Genomic DNA, 18,197 nt, shown 5'->3' with positions numbered 1-18,197 from the left:
CTGTGAGCTCTGCAGAGCTGACCATCTCCAAGACTGGGGGAAAGTGGTTGTATAAGGGCAGCTTCTTATAGGGAATGGCTGGGGAGCAGGGCTGTCCCCAGAGAGGTGATGGGCATTTATATAGTTTTTTCGGCATCACAGACACAGGATTAGCTTACACTAGCAACCACCTACACCCTCCCTTGGCATGAGCCTGGAGTCTGGGAGGACTCCACCTGGATGGGTGGCAGGTGGCATCAGCTCTTCACATCCATCCTTGGTTTCCCTTGGATCCCTCTCCATCACTGTCTTTATTCACCTCAGCCTCCCCCAGCTGGAGCCACAGGCAGCCCTGTCCCATTCCGGAGCCAGTTCTGACCAAGGCAGGAAATGGATGTGGAGCCTCCGCCTGCCACTGGAGGGAGGAGGGGGCTGGAATTAGGTCTCATGTTTTCAATCAGCAACAATCGCGCCTCGGTTAAACCTCAGAGGCGACGGTGGTAGCACCACTCAAAGCTTACATTAAGTTGTTTCCTCAGATGTGGGATCCAGAGGCTTAGGCACGACTCACAGGCTCCTGGGTGCCTTTCTCCTGCGCTCAAGTCTCCTTTCCTCAAATCCAAATGAGGACTGGGTGTGTCAGAGGCAGTCTGGCTGCCTGGGCAGCTCCTGAGTTCCAGAATTTCCTAATCTTCCTTACCCCCAATGGCATCTGCAGCAATTCCCAAGTCCATAATCTGACCATAGTATTGTCTGGCCTTCCAGACCCTTCCTTGAGGCTCATTTGGAGGCTGGGTGCCCCTGGGACAGTGCAGCCTTCCTTCTGACTGTTGGGGATAAACAGCTCAGGGTCCTACCCCAGGTCTGGACTCTGCTGGCATCTCTTCTAATGTCGGGGGTCATCTGTCAGTTAAGAACTACCCTGAGGAGTGGCCTCCAAAGATGGAACCATTAGCTCAGAGGCGCAACATACTTGGTTCCATAAGCCTGCCTCTTTTATGGCCCTAGGAAAGCAAGAGCAGATCAATACATGCTTTTTGAAAGAATCTCAGAGTTTGTGGCAGAACCATTCTGAGATGTGATTAGGACTTGGGACACACAGGTCTTCCTAAACTCTTCTTGAAGGACATTGATTGACCTGAACTGTAACTAATACTGGCTAAGCCAGAATCTTGGAAAAGGTAATATGAGGAAGGTTGTAGTGATAGGAGCTTTTGGTGTCTGAGGAGCAGAACTGAAAATGGAGAAGCCAAGGAGGGTAGAGAATTGGTCAGGGTGTCTGCCTAGAGGCAAGTAGACGCTGATTCTAGACAACAGGTGCTGGGCCTCAGACAGTGGGGGAACAGTGTGTGCTGGGATTGGCCCTCGGAGCATGCAGCGCCCAGGCTCAGGTTTGGTGCTCCTAAGCACGGCCCTGAACCACTGCTGGCCGGGGGGCATTCCTCTACCTCCAGGCTTCGCTGTGGCTCTGCTCTGAATTTGCTATTTGACAAGGATAGCCAGGAAGAGCAGTTCCCTCCCTTCCTCTGCCTGCGCCAACCCCATCAGCAGCCTGTGGTCAGAGGTGCCCTCCTACCCCCATTTCCATGGGTGCCCATGGGAGCAGCATTGGAGGGCAAATCCAGGAGGCCTCTCCCCACCTGCTGCCTCCATCACCCCCAGGGCTGCCTGGCCAGGCTATCTTGCTCACTTTCAGGAAAAGGATCACAGGGAAAGGAACCTCCAGAACCCTAGAAGAGAGACCTCAATGCCATAAGGAAGAGTCTGGGGCAGAGGGGACGGTGGAGGGTAGGGGAGGGAGTGAAGCCCACTTGAGCTTTTGAAAATCTTCCTCCCTTTGAGTCTTCCCCAGCCCTAAGGCTGTTGGTGGGGCATCAGCGACCCCTGCTGGCCACCACATCTGGGATTTCCTCTGCCCTCCAGACCTCCATAGCTTTCCCCTCTGCTTTCAAGCCTCCCCTTCTTCCCAGGTTGAGGATTCTCTTCTCCCCAGAGACCCCACTCCCCCTTCCCTACTAGCCTTGCCTGTCTGTCCCCAGTTTTCTTTTATCCTTTTCTTTTACATATTCCATTCCCTTTTTCTTCTGGCAGAACTCAGCTTCTGTCTTTTGGAGCCTCCCTGCAGAAAACCACCTGTAGGGAAGAGATGGATAAAGCAGTGATAAGGCACCTGGTAAAGCATAACACACAGGAATGTCCAGGGGCTCATCTGGGCTGGAACAATAGATCCCTTTAAATGTGCTATCTGTCCCTCATATTTCTTCCATTTCACTCCAAGCCGAAACAACTACAGTTTATTATTTTATTATTATTTTGAGATGGAGTCTCACTCTGTCATCCAGGCTGGAGTGCAGTGGTGTGATCTCGGATCACTGCAACCCCCACCTTCCGAGTTCAAGCAGTTCTCCCTGCCCCAGCCTCCTGAGTAGCTGGGATTACAGGTGCCCACCACTATACCCGGCTAATTTTTGTATTTTTAGTAGAGATGGGGTTTCGCCATGTTGGCCTGGCTGGTCTTGAACTCCTGACCTTAGGTGGTCCGCCTGCCTTGGCCTCCCAAAGTGCTGGGATTCCAGGCATGAGCCATCCTGCCTGGCTGAACTATGGTTTACTGAATGCCTATTCTGTGCCTGTCTGTGTGTAGGGGACATACTTTGTGCCTCACTTTGCTCCTGTCCAGAGGCACCAGTCTCATGTTGAGGCAGGAGAGGAATGGTTGTGGGAGGATGTGGGTGCAGTTGGATGTCCAGCTTGCCCTGCCCCAACCTCTCTATAACTCATGCTGGTCACAGTGATCAGGCTTTCTTTAGTCTCAGGGCACAAGATTCTCAAGCTTGGCCACCTCATTCCATAAAATAGATAAGAAGTAGCTGCCCAAGTGGAGTTCCCTCTCTTAGGCCTTTGTCAGTCTTGCTCTAGCCTTGGCCTCTGCAGTGTCCTGGGTTCTCATGGCTTGCCATCCAGATGCAGGGCATGCATGATGAGGGGTGTAGGTAGGGGATACACCCATCTCAGGAGGCCAGGACCAGAGTCCCCCGCCCACCTCAAAAGGGCCCCATGTAGGGGCTAAAGGCCGTGGTTAAGTCAGAGGATTTTTATTTTTCTTAAAAGGGAAAAAGCTAAGATACCCTAATAAAAATGAGGCTTATTCTAGAGCAGAAAGCTCTCAGCCTGAGCTCCAGTCCAACACAGATAGGCACTCACTTCCTGGCCCAGGCCTTAATTTCCCTATTATATGGGAGCTAGGATACCCCCCAAAGGTCCTTCTTTTTTTTTGCTCTGAAGTTCTGTGGTTCTATTTTTCTTGCTTTTGCATGGCCAGGCAGACTAGGATGCAGCTTTGATCTACCTTGCGCCAGCTACCTCCCACCCACTCACGTGGATTCTAGGCTTTCATTTTTGCTGGAGTAATATTTTTCTGATGTTTATTTTTAAAAGTTCTGCATCTGTGGTGACCATCTCCCATTTGGAAAATTAACTACTTACAGATGTTGTGTGTGGCACAGCATTCTCCCAGGCAATGAAACCGCTGGGGTTTGGCTATCATTTCAAAAGTAAGAGGAGGGAAGGAAAGATGTATGTCTCTGATGTAGGTGTCAAAACTTCTTGACCTTCTGTAAAATGCCCAAATGTGATTTACTTTTATAAATTGAAGAGTGGAGAATTTCTTAAGCCTTGAGAGCCCAAGTGTTAAAAAACTCAAATGGAAATGGTCATATGTGGGATGTTTATGGTCATTTGTGGAATGTTTGCAGAGGGAAGGCACTAGCTGCGCGGCTGGGGCTGAGTGAACTCCTATGCTGTGCATAGAATACAGAGCTTAGCCCTCATCACCCCCATCCCCATGGTCAGCTGTGGCCAGTCAAGGCAGTGATTTATGTTGCTTTCCAGGATCTAGGTAAAGTGCATCCCAGCCTTGAGCAGAACCAGCAGATCCTTCTGACTCCAGGGTGCTGTGAAGACTCACTGGCTCTCTACCCTGTGTCATCCACCCGACCTTGACTTTCATTTTTGATTTCTGCCCTCCCTAGGAACTTGCACACGTCCTCCTCAAGACCTCCATCTCCAGGCATCACCCTTGCTCCTCTCCTCCCACACAACAGAAAATAGTTCCAGGATTAAAAAGACATTTTGTAAGATCCCAGTGAACTCTCACACAAAGCTCATTTTTTGTTTTCTTATTCATTGGCCACCCCCAGCTTCCGCCTCCTCAACAGTTGTCAAATACAGGCTCAACTCGAGAGAAGGAGCCATAGCCAGCTCTTTGTGTGGATGTTGATGCTGTGTATGTGTGCGGTGTGTGTGTATCTGCAGAGTGGGGTTTGTCTATGTGGAGTGTACACGTGTGCTGGTATTTGTGGCTGGGAGGAACCAACAGGACAAGAGCTCCTTTCCCCAGATGGGGCTTGCCCTGGCTGAGACATCTTTCTTGCCTGGATCTGGGACAGCTTCCTTTTTGCTACTGTTCCATTTCTGTCTCTGTTGATTTCTCCTGTCTTTGTTTCTTTCTACCAGAAGGTTCCTGCAGCCTTTGTCCTGTGAGAATGACTAAGGATAAATAAAAATTTGAGTAGCAGAGGAACTCAGAGACTGTCTCTCAAGTCTAATGAATCTGACTGCTTTAAATGTGAGAAGACTGAGGCTCGTTCTGTGCAGTGCGTTTGAACAGAAAGTTCATGCTTGTTCCACATCAGCAGGTTTAAACATTGTGTTAATGTTTTGTATCTCTGGTAAGATTTTTTGAAAGAGACACTCAAAAAGTGGGGGGAGCATAAGTACTATTCATTATAGGCAGATGGATGAGGATTTAGAATGTGGAGATTTGGAAGACAAAACTCAAGCTAGACACAATTTGTTTTCAAGGGAGAAAAATTAGGCAAAAAGTTAATGTCACTTATTCAAGATTTAGTAGAATAAATATGGGAGAAATAAATTGAGTGTGTGGTAAATTTATGAATAGTGACAGTGTTTCCTCTTGGAATGTGATAACTACTAAAAAAAAACTGCATGCAATAATAGCAATTCAGTAGGTGATATGATTTGGCTGTGTCCGCACCCAAATCTCAACTTGAATTGTATCTCCCAGAATTTCCACGTGTGGTGGGAGGGAGCCAGGGGAAGGTAATTGAATCATGGCAGCTGGTCTTTCCCCTGCTATTCTCCTTATAGTGAATAAGTCTCACCAGATCTGATGGGTTTATCAAGGGTTTCTGCTTTTGCATTTTCCTCATTTTCTCTTGCGACTGCCATGTAAGAAGTGCCTTTTGCCTCTTGCCATGATTCTGAGGCCTCCCCAGCCATGTGGAACTATAAGTCCAATTAAACCTCTTTTTGTTCCCAGTTTTGCGTATGTCTTTATCCGCAGCATGAAAACGAAATAATACAGTAGGAAACATTGATAAGTTGTACACTTTAATCTTCTTCTACGTATATAACAAAGAGAAACAATTCTTTTTCAAAGAAATAACATGGAAATTTGTCAACCATGTCGATCATTTAAAAGAGGCATGTCTAGACTAAGTGGGAGGAAGAAGGGAAGAAGGAGATAGATGAAGGACAAAGTCCACTGATGGAAAATAATAGCATGTGGATTAGGGTTCCCTTTCAGTAACTGGACGAATATGGGGAAAACTTTGTCTGCATGTTAGCAAATCAGAGAATACATCTTTATCTAGTATTCTTTCATCTCAAAATAAATATCAAACAAAAGATGAATTTTTAGGCTCTAAATCTGGGACAAAGAGAAGGAAATGGATAATTGTTTGCTAAGTGATCACACAGAGAACCTTTTCTTATTGTGCAAGACTTATTGTGAAGACTTTGAAGGGCTCCTCTCAATTTGGCTATCATTTCAAAAGTAAGAGGAGGGAAGGAAAGATGTATGTCTTTGATGTAGGTGGCAAAACTTCTTGACCTTCTGTAAAATGCCCAAATGTGATTTACTTTTAGAAATTGAAGAGTGGAGAATTTCTTAAGGCTTGAGAGGCCAAATGTTAAAAAGCTCACATGGAAATGGTCATTTGTGGGATGTTTATGGTCATTTGTGGAATGTTTGCAGAGGGAAGGCACTAGCTGTGTGGCTGGGGCTGAGTGAACTCCTACGCTGCGCGTAGAATACAGAGCTTAGCCCTCATCACCCCCATACAAGGTTGAAACCACTGTAATCTTGATTGGGGAAACTGGTTAGACATAGCCTAAATTTTAATGTGCCCCATGTCTCTCAGAGATAATAGGACCCACAGTTTACGCAAATGTGTAGCTTCTCTTTCTTTTGGTCACCATCTGTTTTCTAGTTTATTTGTGCTTGGTCGACATGATGCCAAACAACTGGTTTGACTGGTTTTTGTTGCACTAAATGGATGAGACTGACCTATTTGACGTCCTGTGGAGACAAATCCCAGCACTGGGGCCCAGGGCTTGCTGAGAGAACAAGGCTCCCTTTTCTTGAAGGCAAGTTTGAGTGTTACTGTACACTTGAGGTATTTTGATATTGTAGACCTGTAAGCATATGTTCTCAGTGGCTTCAGAGTAGGTCTGGAAAAAACAACAACCAGCCAAAGCAAACCTAGACCGGAGGCGCTAGAAACTGGGATTTAGTGACAGGACTCAGGAGGCACACAGCTCTGAAGAAAAAGACATGTAGGTGCTGTAGGCTGTTAGACGATACTGGTGTGGTCAATGCCAGCCCCTGGGTTGTGGGCAGCTGCTGCCCAGGGCAGCGGCCATGAGAAAAACCAGGTACCAGGCAAGGTGAGTGGCTGGCAGTCTCAATCAGCTGGAGTGCCAGTCTATAGGGGGCATCCAGACATTGGTGGACCACATCAGGAATATACTGCCAGTTGACTTATACATGCAAATATGACTTTTTTTTTTTTTTTTTGCATGACACGTTTATAGGCCACTCTGGTAACTCTGAGTCCAGCTGCTGCTATTTGCTTGATGCTGGCTTTTGCAGTTGCTGCAATTCTGTGACAAGTTGGCCCAATATATATGCTAGTTACAAATGATATACTTTATTATGCAAAATTAAGACCTTTTATTATGCTCCCCACTTTCCCCAGTAAATTGGTTTGGAAAATTACCTATGATAAATATCATGTTCTAAGCCTAAAGAAAGAAGTATAACATTTTATTGTAAAATAAGATTGTTTCTAAATATGTAACCAAATGTCAAACAAATAATGAAAGGAGGCTGGACATGGTGGCTTACACCTGTAATCCCAGCCCTTTGGGAGGCCCAGAAATGGGAGGATTTCTTGAGTCCAGGAATTCAAGATCAGCCTGGGAAACATAATGAGAGCTTGTATCTACAAAAAATAAAATTAGCCGGGCATGGTGGGGTGCGCCTGTAGTTCCAGCTACTTAGGAGGCTGAAGTGGGAGGATTGCTTGAGTCTGGGAAGTCAAGGCTGCAGTGAGCTGAGAATGGTGCCACTGCACTCCAGCCTGGGTGACAGAATGAGACCTGTCTCACAAAAGAAAAAAAAGAGTAGCTATGGAGTGTTAGTAGATCCCAGGTAGTAGTTTTTTTTTTTTTTTTTTTTTTGAGACGGATTCTTGCTTACTCTGTCACCTGGGCTGGAGTGCAACGCCATGATCTCCGTTCACTGCAACCTCCGCCTCCCAGGTTCAAGGGATTCTCTGGCCTCAGCCTACTGAGTAGCTGGGATTATAGGCACACACCACCATGCCCAGCTAATTTTTCCATTTTTAGTGGAGATGGGGTTTCACCATGTTGGCCAGGATGGTCTCCATCTCTTGACCTCGTTATTTGCCCGCCTCGGCCTCCCAAAGTGCTGGGATTACAGGTGTGAGCTACCACGCCTGGCAGAGCCCAGGTAGTTTATGTATGTCATTGCTTATATGACTCACAACAACGCTGTGTGGTATTCCCACTTTACAGAGGAGAAAGTTAAGGTTGAGAAAGGATACGGAACCTGACTTCAGGTCACACAGCTTGGGTCCGGGTCGGAATTCCAACCCAGGCAGTGGAGCAACAGGGTTCCATTTTTTAAGCTTTGTGCTACACTGATTCTGAATATTAAAACAACAACACAACATTGGATGAAGAGTCATGAAATCTTTAGCCTACCTGGCTGTCAGTCTGCATGTGTTGCTTGGTCTGGCTCCATTTGGCCAAAATGCCAGAGCAGAACCTTGGTGCAGTGACAACCTCTTAATTGATATGGAAGGGTGAATATTCTTGAGGTAAAGTAAATAGGGCAGAGAGGCTCAGGCTGCAGATAGGGATGGGTAGGTAGGGTTTTCAAGTGGATCCTCAGAGCCTCTGACTCCCAGGGGAGGTGTCTTGAAAAATGCTGTGTTAGGGCATGGAGGGATGAAGCCTAGGAAGGGGCTCTCTTGGGAAAGATAAGAAAGTGCCTTTCTTGTCAAGGAGGTGAGGCCAGGGGCTAGGGCAGGAGGGCTCTAGAAGGCCCACTTGTGATGAGCATGCAGAAAATGCCATTCAGGTGTGTGGCACTTCGCAATGGTGTGGAGTGACCTGCAACCCTAAACTTTTGCTCTGTAACACCATTCAGACTCCAGTAAATGCTTCTCCACTTGTCCCGAGTGGTATGTCCTAGAAATGAAAGGTATCTGTGTTCCCATGTGAAGTATGTTTGTGGGCTGTGTTGCTACAGTTATCAGATGACACTGATCCAAGTTCAGGGAGGATTTCAGTGCTAGAAACACAGGTAGGGAAAAGAAAACTACCAATAAACTTTTGAAAACTTTCATCTCAGGTAATATAAATGCTATAGATTCTTACTAAATATTTTCCAGAAGTGCTAAGTATCCCATTTCCTACTTTTCTCCAACTTCAAATTCTTGGTGCTGGAGTTATTCAGGAACCTGTGTGATATTTGCAACAAATGCATCCAAGGGCTGACGAATATTTGCAACACCAAACAACTGATGTTACTCTTAATTTGTATCTATGTACATCTCCATATAACATGTGTGAGGCATAGCATCCATTCTTTACTTCAGAAGGCAACCAACCAGTTAGATTTTGGATGCTAGAATTGCAATGCTGTATTGCAACTTAAAATTAAAGGATGCACCTGTAATCCCAGGACTTTGGGAGGCCAAGGCAGGCGGATTGCTTGAGATCAGGAGTGGAAACCAGCCTGGCCATCATGGTGAAACCCTGTCTTTACTAAAAAAAAAAATACAAAAATTAACCAGGCATGGTGTCAGGTGCCTGTAATCCCAGCAACTGGGGAGGCTGAAGCAGGAGAATTGCTTGAACCCGGGAGGTGGAGGTTGCAGTGAGTGGAGATCATGCCACTGCATTCCAACCTGGGTGACAGAGTGAGACTCCATCTCGAAAAAAAAGTGTGTTTTATTTTTATAAAAACGTTAAATATGACCTAATTAAATTTCCAGGAAATTAAATTAAAATGTCACCATTATTTAAAAGTTATATTCATTAATTATAATTTGTATCTGCCTTTTAATTTTCATAGATAATTTTAAGTATTAAAAGACTATTAAAATAAATTAAAAATATATTGTGATATAGTTTGGCTGTGTCTCCACCCAAATCTCATCTTGAATTCCCACATGTTGTGAAAGGGACCCTGTGGGAGGTTATTGGATCATGGGGCAAGTCTTTCCCGTGCTGTTCTCGTGATAGTGAATAAGTCTCATGAGATCTGATGGTTTTATAAAGAGGAGCTCCCGTGCACAAGCTCTCTCTTTTTGCCTGTTGCCATCCATAAGAAGTGACTTGTTCCTCCTTGCCTTCCACCATGATTGTGAGGCCTCCCCAGCCACGTGGAACTGTATGTCCATTAAACTTATTTTTCTTCCCAGACTTGGGTATGTCTTTAACAGCAGTGTGAAAATGGACTAATACATATATGTAAAAATTTTATGTATTTGATGAAATATACTTATATTGACAAATTTCAATCACATTTTAATCCTCTTTATTATTGAGAAATGGATATAAGTCAAGATTGGGATAAAAAGATAAAATAGGGTGAAGTTCAGAAGCTGAAAAGAAACAAAATCAGTGAGGTAATCTGCTTAACACTGCAAACACTGGAGAAATAGTAAAAGTGAGTAGGCATTTGTTGGACTAGCCCACAAAAAATCTTTACACAGGACCTTACAAATTGTTTACTTAATGTAGATCTAATTAGTGATCAAAACAATGAGAATGTAAAGGGGAATTATTCATATCAAATTCACAATTCAGAAGCCACAGATGGATGCAACTTGTGCCTGCCTGGGAGACACAAAGGAAGCTACATTCGTGAAATTAGCCCAATGGGAGGAGAAAGATGAAACTGAAACCTTGGGGGCTTTACTGTACCTGTGGGAGGCTGATTCAGGAAAATGGCCTGCTTTTTTTTTTTTTTTCTTTTTGAGATGGAGTCTCGCTCAGTTACCCAGGCTGGAGTGTAGTGGTGCAACCTCCGCCTCCCAGGTTCAAGCGATTCTCCAGCCTCAGCCTCCTGAGTAGCTGGGATTACAGGCATGTGCCACCACGCCCAGCTAATTTTTACATTTTTAGTAGAGATGGGATTTCACCATGTTGGCCAGACTGGTCTCGAACTCCTAGCCTCAGGTGATCCTCCTGCCTCAGCCTCCCAAAGTGCTGGGATTACGGGTGTAAGCCACTACACCCAACCAAAATGGCCTTCTTATAGCAGGAGACTGTGTCCTCAAAACACAGTCCCATCCAAGTGAATGGTTACAATTATTGGATGAACATGGTAGGACATCCAGTATTCCATTTTACATCAAAACTCTTCTAACTGGGAAAGATGTCATAGAAACTGGCTTTTATATGCTAAGTTCAATACAAAATATTTTGTGAATTCTATACCAATTATCACCAATCTTGAAGATTAGCTTTGGTTAAATAATGTATTATGGCCAGAAGAGGAAATCCCTGTGCACACACAAAAAGCACACAATCAATTGTTTGAGAAAAAAAGGTTAATAAACAGCAGACAATGAGTAGTAGTCAGCAAAGACAAGTAAACACCAATAAAGAACATCTGCCATAATATTCCTAAAAGAAACATGTTATTTAGCCAAACAAAATGATGCTTTTATAGCCTTAATAATACATTCTTTATGGAAAACAATGAAGTTTTCTGGGTTTTGTATGAATGACTTAAAAATTTGCTGCTAGGGTGATCAAACATGAAAGAGATTAAAAACACACACAAATGATCTCTATTGAGGATTGAGAATTAAAAGAGATTATTAAATTAAAGGATAATAAAATGATAACAATATTTAACATTTAAAAAAGCAAATATTATTCAGTTCAACTAGCTAGCAGCGGTCAAAAGTCAAGTTGGGTGACTCACTTTTTTGTGTGTGTGTAAGACAGTCTTGCCACGTCGCTCAGGCTGGAGTGCAGTGGCACGATCTCAGCTCACTGCAGCCTCCACCTCCCAGGTTCAAGAAATTCTCCTGCCTCAGCCTCCCGAGTAGGTGGGATTACAGGCGTGTGCCACCATGCCCAGCTAATCTTTTTGTAGTTTAGTAAAGACGGGGTTACATCATGTTGTCCAGGCTGGTCTCCAACTCCTGGCCTCAAGTGATCCTCCTGCCTCAGGGTCCCAAAGTGCTGGGATTATAGGCATGAGCCACTATGCCCAGCCTGAATGACTCACATTTATGATACTCATTGTTAAACTATCTGGAGAGGCAAACAAGGAACTTGAAATTAATAAGTATTTTATTGGTTTTACACTTTCGAAAAATGCAGCTTTTGTCTTAAAGACACAGCTTTAAATTTTAGCCATTGATTTAAAAGATTATTGAGGGTAAGCCTATGATAATGATGTTAATAAGGTTGTTAAAGAAAAAGGTATGCAATCCAGAATTCTGGTTGAAAATATAGAAGCATTCTTTGAACTGTAGTTTGAATTTTAACAAGGAAATGTCAGCTTTACCTGTGCTGATAGCAATGGTATTCCTTGGAACAATTCAAGTATTATTTACATTGTTTTCTATATCTCTCTAAAGGTGGAACATGATGAAACACACACCAAATCTGACCTTACAACACGCTTAGGTACACAATGGAAATTCTAATGAAACACTGTCAAAGCAATTAGATTTAATTAAGCAAGATATGAAATACATTAATAGAGCTAAGCAAAACCATAGAAAATCCTCAAAGAGCAAATCTCAGTCTTTGGCAGAATGTGAAATTAATTTTAAATCTCATCATTCAGTTACTTGTTATGAACTACAGCTTGCTGTAAACAATGTTAACTGAAAAATAAAAAAACAAAACCATGATCTAAGTTTTATTTCACTTTTAAATGGATTCTACAAATATATCTAAAGATTTAAAGAAAATTGTTATTCTAAATAAAAAAGATGCATGATAAATATGAAACAAAAGTAAAATTCCAGCAAAATACAAGGAAATTTGAACAACAAAACAAAAACATTTGCATGACTATGAAGGAGAAGGTTCACACATATACAATCTGAAAACTGACTTCTACGACTGTTTTGTGGCCATTCTAGATTAAGGTATTGTATTGATTGAAGAGCAATCTAAACAAACCAATATATTGGTATTTCTTTATTTGTAATAATCCAGTCCAGAAAAAGTTAAAAGAACTTATGGATTAGAGTATCAATCTAGATATTGTTTTAAGAGAAGCCAAAAATAACTATAGAAATGATATGTTTTGGCTATGTCCCCACCCAAATCTCATCCTGAATTGTAATCCCCACATGTTGGGGGACGGACATGTGGGAGGTGATTGGATCATGGGGGCAGTTTCCCCCATGCTGTTCTCGTGATAGTGAGTGAGTTCTCATGAGACCTGATGGTTTTATAAGTCGCAATTTCCCCTGTGCTTTCTCTCTCTCTCCTGCTGCCTTGTGAAGAAGGTGCCTGCTTCCCCTTCCACTATTCCATACAATTCCATAATTGGAATTATAATAATTACAATTCCATAATTGGAATTATAATAATTACAATTCCATAATTGGAATTATAATAATTACAATTCCACTTCCATAATTGTAAGTTTCCTGAGGCCTCTCCAGCCATGCAGAACTGTGAGTCAATTAAAACTCTTTCCTTTATAAATTACCCAGTCTGGGGTAGTATCTTCACAGCAGTGTGAAAACAGACTAGTACAATAAGCAATAGTAATTTCTACCATGAAATTAATATATTTGGCTACATTTCCAGTGATAACACTAATTAACCATAGATGACCTCATTACAATGTTTGAGATTGGTTTGAAAATTATGGTTCATTTCCAATCTAAGTATCATTTTAATAAATTTATTGACAATTCCAATGGCTACTAGATTAGCAGTGTTTCCCTTAAACGAAAGTGCCAATTTGGCATGACTGTGAACAATTTTGATCATAGCAACATTATTAGTGATTCACTGAAATGAACAAGAAATATACATTCTATGAAATAAATTATACTAACTAATTACAGTTGACCCTTGAGAAACACAGGTTTGAACTGTGTGGGTCCACTTATATGTGAATTTTCTTCCACCTCTTCCACCCCTGAGATAGCAAAACCAATCCCTCCTCTTCCTCTGCCTACTCATTGTGAAAATGACAAGCATGAAGACCCTTATGATGATCCACTCAAGGAATAGTAAATACATTTTTTCTTCTTTATGACTTCGATATGATTTTCTTTTCTCTAGCTTACTGTATTGTAAGAATACAGTATATAATACATATAACATACAAAATGTGTGTTAATTGACTGTTTATGTTGCCTGTAAGGTTCCCAGTCAATAGTAGGCTATTAGTAAAGTTTGGGGGAGCGAAAAGTTTTGGATTTTCAACTGTGTAGGGTGGGGAGGGTGGTACCTCTAACCCTCTTGTTGTTCAAGGGCCAAGTGTAATTATAGTATACCTTTATTGTATTACCCACATAAACATCAGTGCATCAAGGTATGCAACCAGTTCTCTTTGATATTTTGCCAACTTTTAGTCATGTAAAAGCTTAGTTTTGTACACATTTTTTCAATTTTTGTGTTACAAAAGTTGTATTTGTCAGGAAGGAGGAAATGACATACTGTATTTAACAATTTTTAGCTTAATCTATAACTTTTAAATATTTAGATATATGATATTTTGGGCTTAAATGCTGGGCTGACATCCAGGTGAAAGTGCATTCAGCTTTGAGGAAAAAATTTGGGAGCCCACACTTGGAGGGAAGATTAGGAAACAAATTTGAGGTTGAATTGAGAATTCTTCCACATCTGAAGATAATGCAAACCCAAAGCCCCTTCTGTTAAGATGGCAGTTCTCAACCTTGGTTACCCATTAGAATCACCTGGGAGGCTTTACAGATGCTGATGCCCAGGCTCCCCACTCTGTAGAGCTTTTGATTTAGTGGTCTAGGTTGAGGCCTGAGCATCAGCACTTCAAAAAACTTCCCAGGGTTGGGCCGAGTGCAGTGGTGTTTACAAATAATTGATCACAACCAGCTATAGACTTCTTTGTTTCTTCTCTATCTCCTTTGCTTCACTTGACTAGCCTTAAAAAACAACAACAAAAAATCTTCCCAGGTGATTCTAATGTGCAGTCAGCCCTGAGACTAGCTATCAGTAACTTGGATAGCAAACAGCATCCTGACAGGGTTGAAAGAACTTTGAAGCCAGGTCATGCCATGGCTAGATTGTGGTTACATTATGTCAGGTCTGGGTCAAACTAAGGTTGGCAAGATTGAAAGAGGCTGTCATTGCAAAGAAAGAGCACGTAGGCCTTGGTTTCATCCATTCAATTGACATTTAATGCACTTCTACAGTGTTTCCTGAACTGAGGGTACAGAAAGCAATAAAATATTAATTCCAAAAATGGGGAACAGATGTGTAAACAAAATCAATAAAGTATTACAAATATTATGGTAAAAGTGTATATGGGGCACAATAGAGGCACAATTCCATATAGGAAGGAAGGATAGGTGGAGGCAGTCTTAATCTTGAAAGATGTGGGGTTATCTGGGTGTGTTTGGGGCTGAAGACCAGGAGTTTATAGGGAGACTTCTTGAATTGGGCAGCACAGGAAACCCAGGTATATCTGAGAGCAAGATGAGGCCCTTGGGAACAGACGCAGTAGAGAGAGGCAGGAACGTGGGAAGGTGTATTAGTCTGTTCTCACACTGCTAATGAAGACATACCTCAGACTGGGTAATTTATAAAGGAAAGAGGTTTAATGCACCCACAGTTTCACATGGCTGGGAAGGTCTCACAATCATGGTGGAAGGTGAAGGAAGAGCAAGGCACATCTTACATGGCAGCAGCCAAGAAGAATGTGTGTAGGGAACTACCCTTTATAAAACCAGCAGATCTTGTGAGACTTATTCACTATCAGGACAACAGCATGGGAAAGACCCGGCTCCATGATTCAGTTACCTCCTACCAGGTCCCTTACCATGATATGTAGGAATTATGGGAGCTACGGTTAAAGATGAAATTTGGGTGCGGACACAACAAAATCATATCAGAAGGCATTGCTAGGTTGAGTGGCCAACTTCTCTTTGGTCTGGAGCCAATTTTATATAGGCCTTGAGTGTGCTTTTTGAGCAACATCTCAGAGGATCTTCAAACAGGGTTTACAGCAGCACTTTTCAGGAGGTTTGATGGCATGGGAAGGGAATCTATTTCCAGATCCTTAACTTCCACAGGTATTTTTCCTAAAATTTCCCTGCCCCAAAGCAGGTGCCAGAGCCATTGTCTCAGCAGCTTCAAGCTGTTTGTCCTCCCGCGATTATACTCTATGCTTTGCACAGGTCAGCAGTGCTCCTCCTCTTTCAGGATCTTCCTGTAATCTGCTACTCTGTGGTGCTATCTCGGAGGCACCAAATGAAAAGATGAGAAATACCAGTTTCAGAGATCTCCTTTACTGTTAATCAAGGAGCCCAAGCCTGCCTTCTGGTTTTGTATCTTACACATGTTTCCTATTGTTGACTCCTAATCCTACTTAGAGTTAACATTTATCCGTCGCTAACCCCTCCACTCTGGCAACTAAGCAAAATGTGAAAGGCTTAACGACATAGCTTCATTAATCCTCCATTTTTGTTGTCCTGCATGTTACATCTACATCATTGAAAATGCCACCAGATGATATAATTTTTGTTTTCGACATTCATACTTACTATAAAGAACTTAAGAATAAAAAAAGTGCCTTCCATTATATATTACTTTAACGCCACGGTAACCCTGTATTTTGTTAGATGGCCCCAGAGGCTGTGATTCCCATAGTAAGCACAGTAAAATGATGCCCAGCCAAGAGAAATTAAGAGATTTGTTCTAGTCTCCTGCTTGTGAGTGCTGGAACTGGATCTTATACCCAGATATTTAAAGTCAGATTTCAAAATCCAATATTCTTTTCTACATACTAAATGACTTCTCTTGGAGTGGGCATGTGAGTTTGCTTTAGGAGGCAGCACAGAGAAGAACATGTTATTCTACTGAGTCTTGAAGGGAAAGAATCAGAATCCCCAAGTGTACCTGTAGGAAGTAAGGAGGGAGAACCACAAGGATGGGAGAACCGGTGTGATGACTGGAATCTGCGGGAATAACAAACTGGCTGCCCAGGGGAGGGGGCCTGGCTTGGGTCAGGGGACTCTGAGGCCCAAATAGGAAAACACCTGCACGTCCCCAGCCCAAGATCTGCTGTCAGGCACTGCCCTTACTTTATGTCTGTTGGTGGTAGTGGAGGCTGACAGGTGAGGGTCCCAGGGAAGCTTCTTTGACTCTCAACAGCAGCTCTTCATCAGGGGTCCTCAATATGCAAAATGGTCTGACTTTATTTTTCTGGGCCATTCTAGAAGAAAACCCTGACTTGGCAATGGGAAGGGGAAGGGAGGTTCTACAGGGGAGGAGGGCCTGGCCCAGCAGGAGTCTGAGCTGCAGGCTGAGCTGAGGGGCAGCAGAGAGCTGATGGGATGACAACTGCAATGGAATGAATGTCCACTGCAGCTGAATGAATGTTCCACATGTTTTGGGACATTTTCTATTTCCCACATGGCATCTCAGAAAATTTGGGGTGAGATGCACAAAAGCTGCCGGTATAGTACATGGCCCAAGTGTGAGTCCCTGATCCATCACTTATTGTCTTGCAGTCAGAGGCAAGTTAATTGACCTCTCTAGGTCCCATTGCCTCATCTGTAAAATGGGGATGATAGAACTCACCTGGTGGGCTTCCTGTGACACTTGGCACGGGCACCTTCATCTTAGATTTTTCTAGACTGGCTGCTGCTGGAGGGCCAGGACTGTATCACCAGTGACTTGCGTAGTCCCAGACTTACTGCAAGTGCTGCTTGACAAATGGCTGCTGACTACACATGACTACAGGGAATCAGTAGGTGTTTGTAGATTCTTGAGTCAGACAGGCCTGACTCAAATCCTAGCTTCACTACTTATTAATTGTGCGAGTCAGTTTCCTCCCACCTCCCTTACCTTGTCTGTAAAGTGGAGACAACTGGAGAGCATGCCTTATAGGTTGCTGTGAAAATTAAAAGAGGAAATACATAAAAAATCATCAAGAAATCCCAGCGGCTATTACTGCAGATAGGTGTGAGGGAAAACAAGAAATGAGGCGTCAGGCAGCCTGCATCCAAGTTCCTGATCTGATAAATCACCAGCCCTCTCATCTTGGACAAGTCACCTCCACTTTGTCTTTCTGAGCCTTGTTATCTTATCTATCACACAGAGATGTTGAAGCTCTGTTGCCTCAGGACCATTGTAGAGTTTGGATGAGATAATATATGGGAAAGTTTGACGTGCATGAAGTGTTAACCAAATGTAGAGAATTATTATAGTCGGATCCCGATGGCCTCAACCACCTCAGTCCTCTGTGGGATGTCAGAATCCTCAGGAAGGGGTCCCAAGAGTTCAGTCAAATTCCTTTCTTTTCCTGAAAATTTCTTTCCGCAAGAGTTTGCTGCCCTCTGGTGGGTGTTATTGCCATATTGCACAAACTTTTCCTGGAAAAGATTAAGCATCTTGCCTTTACGGGCTGGAGGCTATAGCACATCTGGGAGGATGAGCTATGAATAGGAGCGTTGGCCTATCTTCTAGCCCTCCGGGGGAGTAGTTCTTGGAGTGAGGCCTCTGATCAGCATCAGCATCACCTGGGTGTTTGATAGAAGTGCACACACTCGGCCCTACAGCTGACCAATGAAGCAGAAACCCTAGGGGTGGGGCCCAGCAGTCTGTGCTTTAATGTGACCTCCAGG

At 43.3% G+C, this 18,197-nt stretch overlaps 1 pseudogene, besides 1 other annotated feature; it reads right to left on the bottom strand.

The window, feature by feature from the left end:
* RNU4-63P (RNA, U4 small nuclear 63, pseudogene) lies at positions 380-497 on the bottom strand (annotated as a pseudogene).
* Positions 1,851-1,950: a silencer, noted in NCBI's record as "silent region_11389". NCBI's record gives its function as "represses an Ori minimal core promoter by ATAC-STARR-seq in GM12878 lymphoblastoid cells {active_cell/tissue: GM12878}" and the evidence as "EXISTENCE:reporter gene assay evidence [ECO:0000049][PMID:35858748]".

This window comes from Homo sapiens, chromosome 2, assembly GCF_000001405.40.
Source record: "Homo sapiens chromosome 2, GRCh38.p14 Primary Assembly".
NCBI classification, from domain to species: domain Eukaryota; kingdom Metazoa; phylum Chordata; class Mammalia; order Primates; family Hominidae; genus Homo; species Homo sapiens.
The sequence above is the reverse complement of the archived record's forward strand: the minus strand, read 5'-3'. Positions and strand labels throughout refer to the sequence as shown.